Source organism: Homo sapiens, chromosome 3 (genome assembly GCF_000001405.40).
Source record: "Homo sapiens chromosome 3, GRCh38.p14 Primary Assembly".
In the NCBI taxonomy this organism is placed as follows: domain Eukaryota; kingdom Metazoa; phylum Chordata; class Mammalia; order Primates; family Hominidae; genus Homo; species Homo sapiens.
In genome coordinates this window covers 127,156,627-127,163,766 of record NC_000003.12, presented here as the reverse complement: position 1 = coordinate 127,163,766, position 7,140 = coordinate 127,156,627, and the positions used below count along the sequence as shown (strand labels likewise).

At 52.5% G+C, this 7,140-nt stretch overlaps 1 annotated feature.

The window, feature by feature from the left end:
- Positions 614–814: a silencer, noted in NCBI's record as "peak4818 fragment used in MPRA reporter construct". NCBI's record gives its function as "represses an SCP1 promoter by STARR-seq MPRAs in K562 erythroleukemia cells {active_cell/tissue: K562}" and the evidence as "EXISTENCE:reporter gene assay evidence [ECO:0000049][PMID:32103011]".

Below are 7,140 nucleotides of genomic sequence, written 5' to 3'. Positions count from 1 at the left end.
CTCACTCATCCCTGATAAAGCAGGGTCTGAAGGAGACCCATAGTCCAGGGTGAGAGGCAGGCTCTGAGCACTGAGGTGATTTACCCGCAGCCAAAAGCTGGAAAAAGACAGAGCCAGAGTTTGAGTCCAGAGTCTATTTCTGGGGCCCAGTGCTCCCCTTACAGCCCAAGAATGCCCAGGCAAGAAGGAAGGCAATCCTTACCCTGAAACGAAGTCCGGAAGTCCCCTGCGACATCAACCCCAGGGAGAGAGCCCATGTCTCGTCCCCACCATCCCCCAGCACTCAGCAGTTTGTGAATATCTAACAAAAATGAGCTACATGGTGGAGGGATACCCACTGAATCCCGCTGTGTTCAAACCTGTCTGGTCCTCCCAAAACACCAATGTGCTGACCCTGCCAGCCTACCGCGAGCTTCCTGCCTTCCACCCTCTCCAAAGCCTGTGGCCCTCACAATTTACTGCTCTAATTACAGGCTGTCTTCCCAAGGTTTAGTTTGCAAAAGCCTTGCCTTCCCCAGGGAGAGGGAGACGTCTTCAGGATGGGATGTCTCTCTTCTGCTCGTGCACCTCCCACAGGGCACGGGACCAAAGCTGGGAACTGACTTGTTGGCAGGACAAGGGAATTCTTGAAGGCTCTGGGACCACTCAACAAGTCAGAGGCTGAGGCTGCAGCGTTAGCATGCCCGGAAGTCCCCTTGCCGGGCAGCAGGATTGGGCCCTTGGGTCCTGTTTTCAGCACCGTGGAGTGGACAGCTCCTCAGCTGCTGCCCCCAGCTCTGGGCCCAAGTCGGGTCATTGGCTCCTTAGGGAGAGGAAGCCAGGCACTCCAGCAAGGGAAATATGAAATTAAAAAAAAAATCGTGTTACAGTTTGCCCTATGAAACAGTTCTAGACAATGGAAATATAGCTTTATAGTAGCCATATCTAACAAAAGTAAAATGCAACAGGTGAGATTAATTTCAATATATAATTAATACAAAATTACTAATAAGCTATTCTACATTTTTTGTACAAAGTCTCCAAAACCTGGCATTTTATACTTACAGCACATCTCAATTTGGACAAGCCACATTTCAAGTACACTTGGTGATGTATCAGAGAACAAAATTGATAAAGTACATGGAGTTTATATTCTACTAGGGGAAACATTCTCTCTATATAGATATAAATACAGATGTAGGTGTAGGTGTAGACATAGGTGAAGGTGTAGGTATAGGTGTAGGTATAGGTGTAGACATAGGTGAAGGTATAGGTGTAGATGTAGGTGAAGGTGTAGGTGTAGATGTACATATAGATGTAGATGTAGTTATAGATTTATGTGTAGGTGAAGGTGTAGGTGTAGATGTAGATGCAGGTGTAGACGTAGGTGTAGGTGTAGATGCAGGTGTAGGTGAAGGTGTAGGTGTAGATGTAGGTATAGATGTAGATGTAGGTGTAGGTATAGACATAGGTGTAGGTCTAGGTATAGACATAAGTAAAGGTGCAGGTGTGGATGGAGGTGTAGATATAGGTGTAGGTGTAAATATAGCTGAAGGTGTGGGTGTAGATGTGGGTGTTGATGTAGATGTAGGTGCAGATATGGGTGTAGGTGCAGTTGTAGGTGTAGGTGAAGTTGGTGTAGATGAAGATGTAGGTGTAAGTGTAGGTGTAGATGTAGGTGTAGACGTAGGTGTAGGTGTAAGTATAGACATAAGTGAAAGTCTAGGTGTAGATGTAGGTGTAGATATAGGTGTAAGTGTAGATGTAGGTGAAGGTATAGATGTAGATGGGGTAGGTATAAATGTAGGTGTAGATGTAGATGTAGGTGTAGACATAGGTGTAGGTATAAGTATAGACATAGGTGAACGTGTAGGTGTAGACATAGGTGTAGGTGTTGATGTAGGTGTAGATATAGATGTAGGTGTAGATGTAGATATAGGTGTAGGTGTAGGTGTAGATATAGGTGTAAGTATAGATGTAGGTGAAGGTATAGGTGTAGATCAAGATCTGGGAATGTTATTGCTCTGAAGAAGAATTGACTGGAGTAGCTGGATAGTGAGTGGAGGAGGGACAGAGGTGGTATTGGAGTAGATGTCTTTGCAAAGGGTGTGACAACATCTGGAAAGGATGCTCCAGGCAGAGAGAGGGGCAGGTGCCAAGCCCTGAGACTGAGCAGCACATGAGCAAAAGGTGGCCATGTGGCTGGCACAGAGCTAGCAGTGGAGCAGAGGATGAAGCAGGGTGAGGCCCACAGGGCAAGTTACATAGGGTCTCACAGGCCAGGGGTGGAGTTCCATTTTGAATAAGGTTAGAACCCACTGGAAGGTTATGAGCAGAGGCATGACACAATCTGGCTTAGATTTTGTGATGGGCACTGTGTCTGCTGAGTGGAGAGCAGACAGAAGGGGCCAGGATGGAGCAGGAGCCCAGTGAAGAGATGCTACAATAATGGCCAGCGGGGAGACTACGGTGGCCTGGACCAGAGTGCTGGGTGCTTGGGAGAAGGAGCCACAGGGCTTTCTGATGCACTGGATGCAAGGTGTCCCAGAAAGAGCAAACCAGGGATGACCCTTAGATTTTAGCTCAGGCTAAGAAATTAGGCAGCAGCTCTTCCCCTATGTGGGCGAGCTGTGAGAGGAGCAGGTTTGGGGAGGGACTGGTGCATTGTCAGGAGCTCAGTGGGGGCCATGTTGAGCTTGAGATGCCTATAGGATGCCCAAGAGGGGTTAGGGACACATAACTGGAGGTCAGGGGAGAACCAAGAGCTGAAGAGACACACCTGGGTTGGAGGTGGCACCGAAACCCCAAGGTTTTCCCCAGATGTGTTCTACTTCTTTATTGTGGGAGCCCCGCTAGAACAGAAGTGCTACAAGAGAGAGTGCAGGCCCAGCAAAGCCTCGCCCAACCCAGCAGCAAGCGTTGGAGTGAATATTGTGCCAGATTCTTCCTGGTCGGGCTGGAATGGCTAAGCCTTTGTGCCCCTTTTTACTAAGTTGCTGGGTGTTGCCACTCTGGGGAGGTCAAAGCCTGCACTGAGGCGGCTCCTTGCAGCTGAGGCAGATCCTGAGGCATTGACAGGTGGAGGTCGTGTGCTGACCAGCCCCTGCAGCTGGGCAGAAAGTCCATCCTCAAAGGGGGGAAGGGCTGCTGGCCTTGGGAAGAGCAGTGCTGTGAACAGAAACAAGTCCATTTTGCAGGGGGGACACAGGTATAGAGAGGTCCAGTGACATTTGCAAAGTCACCAGGGCAGCACTTTCTCTTCTGTGTGCCAGGTGTCATGGGCTTGGGAAGTCCCCAGAACTCATGCCAAGGAACACCCAGCCCTGGGCTTGGCACTGGGCATGCATGGAGGAATCTTGTGACTCTCAGGGTAATGGGATTTTGTCTGTGTGTTCTTTAAATAAATAGAGGCCATCTAATAGCTAATATACACACTGGGTCAGAATTCAAACCACAATGATAATTATTATCACTGTGGCTTATGGCTAGTATTTACTGAGGAAGCAGCTAAGTGCTTAACCATGCTATTTCATGCAGCCCTCAGGACAGCCCTGAGTGAAGCACTGTTCTTAGCCCCATTTTACAGATGAAAACATTGAGGGGAGGGAGGCAAAGGCACTTGCCCAGGGCTAGCAAATGCTGAGTCCAATGTCTCCCTGTGCCTTTGCCCTCCAGATCGTTTCTCCCACAGATACCACCGAGACCCCAGCCTCCCATGGACCTGCCCAGAGGTGCTGTATGCACAAGGCAGCATATCCATACATGGCATTTCTGTGAGTTTATCTCACAGAGGGGGGCATGCATTCACAAACAATCTGTCCTTGTTGCAAGCACGTCCTCACTTCATACGTGAGAAAACTGAGTTTCTGGCAGTGAGGCTCTCGACTCAGGGTCTGTAAGCTGGGTTCCTGGGGCGGACGCTCCACCTCCCCCACTTCCCCAGGTGGTGTCAGGAGGACCAGTCCCCCTCCTCCCTCCCCCAGCCAGCTGCAGCCTCTCATCCCCTCCCCCATCCCCAGTTCATTCTTCCCTTTTAGGGCATTAAGCACAGAAGTATTGAAAGGGATTGTTCAGGCCGGTTAATTAGCTTGGAAGAGGCCTCCGCGGCAGCCCAGGTCATAGCCATCCACCTCTCTTTATTAGCTGAATTGATGGAGACAGCAGGGCCCAGATGGGAATAAATTGAATCCAATGGCAAAGAGGCTCTTGCTCCAGCTCTTGACAGGAGAGAGCAGGCCTCACACTTTGCTTGCTGGCGTTTTCATAACGTCTTTCACCTGCTATTCCTGGAGGCTTCTGTGGGGGTGTGGCCAGGTCCCAGGAGAGCTCCCACCTGTGCCCTGAAGTCCAGCCCATAGGCCACAGGGAGGGGACACCAGTCCAATAGACACAGATGTGCTAACTCTGCAAGGAGGGAGGACCCTCCACAAAGCCAGGGCACCTACTAAGGTGGCAAAGGCCCTGGAGCCCAGGAAGCCAGCATTTCCTGCCCTGGGTTAAGGGGGCTGCTTTGGTACCTTCCCTCATTTTGTCCTCCCAGTAATTGTTGCATGGGGTGTGTGCCTTCTACGTGCCTGGCTTTCTTCCTATGTGACAGCCACAGCAGGTAGGCACTAGCTGTCACCCCCACACTGCAGAGGAAAAAGCTGCTCACAAAGAAGCTTCAGGACTTGCTGTCCAAGGCTGCCCAGCTGTAGTGGTGGAGCCAGTCTGAGCACAGCCGGCTGGTCCATTGCCTGGGCTGTGGGCTGCAGCCCTGCGCTGGCCTCTCAGCACCCTGGACAGGGCTTGGTCGCCAAGAAACTGTGGCCAATGCAGAACTTGACCTAACAATAATCACAGCCGCAGGGATGACAGCTGCCCCGTCCCCACTCTCTCCAGCCACACCTGCTTCCTCTGTGTTCCCAGGATGTGCCTGCATGCTCCCGCCTCAAGGCCTTTGTTCCCCAGTCCCTCTTCCTGGGGTGATTTTCCCTGCTGGCTCCTCCTTGTCACTCGGGTCTCAGCCCTTTGTCACCTCCTCAAAGAAGCTCTTCCAGACCACCCAGCCCACCCCAGCTGCCAACACACTGACTTGTTAACTTTCTCCAAAGCTCTCTCTGGAATGGTCTCGTTCATGTAAGTGTCAGCTCCAGGGGCGCAGGAATTTGTACATGGAGTCTCAGCTGTGTGCCCCATGCCCAGCACCCAACTGCTCAGGAACCATGGCTTGGATGTTGAGCACATGGACCTACTGAGTGCCTTCCACATGCCACGCGCTGCAGGGATTTAGCCCCTCAAGTCCACACAGGACCTTAGGAGACTTTAGTCCTGTTGCCATCCACTTATGGCAGAGGAGCAAGGGCTCAGCAAAGGAGGTGATGTCCCCAAGTCCACGAGCTAGTTAGACCCCAGCTGCCAGCCACCCAGAATGTGCCCCTCAGCTCTTCCTTTCTCCTCCCCCATCTCAGACCTGCAGTGACCTCAGGGACAGAGGGCGGGCACATGCTCTCAGATGGGGGTGATGTTAAAAGAGGGCCTGGGGGACTTCGGGGAAGTGTCCCAGCGGTACTTTCTGGAGACTCTGGGAAGGTGCAAGAGGGTAAACTGAGGAGTCCTATGCCCAGTGGCGAAATAGAATTATTCCCTGTGGCCCACAGCAGTGAATCCAAGACTCTTGTGAACCCCAAGCTGATCCCAGCCTCTCCCCTCCCTGGTCCCCACTCTTGCCACTATACTCTGATCCTCTAATCCTTTGCTGTTACCAGAATACATAAGGCCCTTTCACCTGCTGTTGCCTCAGCTTGTGTTGCCTTCCCTTTCTCGTACCGGTGAACTCCTATTCAACCTCCAACTCTACCTTCCCTCAGCCTGCCTACTCTCTTCTTTCCTGAAGGAGTCTTTCACCGCCAAGACTTAAAAATGCCAGACTCACAGCCTCGCAGCCTCCGGCAGCAGACAGTGGTGCAGGCTGTTCCTGGAGAGGTGGGAGGGGACCTGGTGAGGGTTTTTTTCCTCCCTAATGAAAAAGAGCCTTGTGGGAGGAAGTAGCCCCTGTGATTCCTGCCAGGCACAGATGTGTCTGAACGCTATGCTGAAAATGGCTGTGATTGTCATCTCGGTGACCACAGAGGGTGTCACTGACACACATTAACTTGAGTTGCCTGCCCCCAACCCACTCGTGTCCACAGATGCCTCCATTGGGGGGCTGCCTAGTGGTGGGGACACCAAATGAGGCCATCAGGTGTCCACAACCTCAGAAACCACCAGGAATCCCAAGCCATGGGAGGCCGGATGAGTTGTCAGCAGTAGAGGGAAAAGCACCCCCGTGCAGCCGGCTGCCCCCGACCTGCCCCTCCCCACCCCCCTGCCTGACACCCCACAGGTGAGAGGCAGCAGAGGAGGGGCTCACGTTGGGAACCCTGGACTCCCTCCCACGAAGGTACTTGTGCAGCAGGCAGCAGCTGGGGGTGTTCCTCCTGGGCGCTGGGCCAGTGGGGTTAATTGCCCATACAATTTCAGCTTGCACAGGGGCCTTGTTCATTACCGAGAAGCATTTCCTTGGGAGTGTTTACAAACCACCTGGAAAACCGGCGACAAAGAACAGATTCCCCACCATTTTACAACTGGCTTCCCGCAGAAAACAATCAGGAATTGAGGGCAAGGGGAGCAAGAGCTCATGCGACTCTCTGCCCCAAAGAGGGCTGCCCCAGGAGCATCAGGACCTCCTCAATCAGGGGCTGCATTTTGGACGATGGTTTGGTTGAGACAGAAAAAACAGAGCTCGCCTGATTCTGCTCTGAGGGAGGGGCAGAGACAGCTTCTGGCTGTCTCAGAGATGCCCTGCCCGGGAAGCAAGGGCCACGGAGGAGGGCACGGGGTTCTCCCCTCCTACTATGGGACATTACATCCTCTGCACCAGGCTGCTCTAGTCAAGCGTGGCGTGTACAGCGACATGTGTCTGATTCCACCCTTGTGGGAAATGGGGAGGGAATGGAAGTGGGGAAGGAGGACAAGGAAGATATGGAACAGGTCGGGGGGTCCTGGCCTGCTGGTGGAGGGCCACAGGAGGGGCCTACTCTGAACCGTGGCGGGCCATTCCCAGGCTGTGACCAACCCCAGGAAGGTGTGCACCCCAGGAAACGCATCTGAGATGCTCACAGCAGCATTGTTCTTCAACAA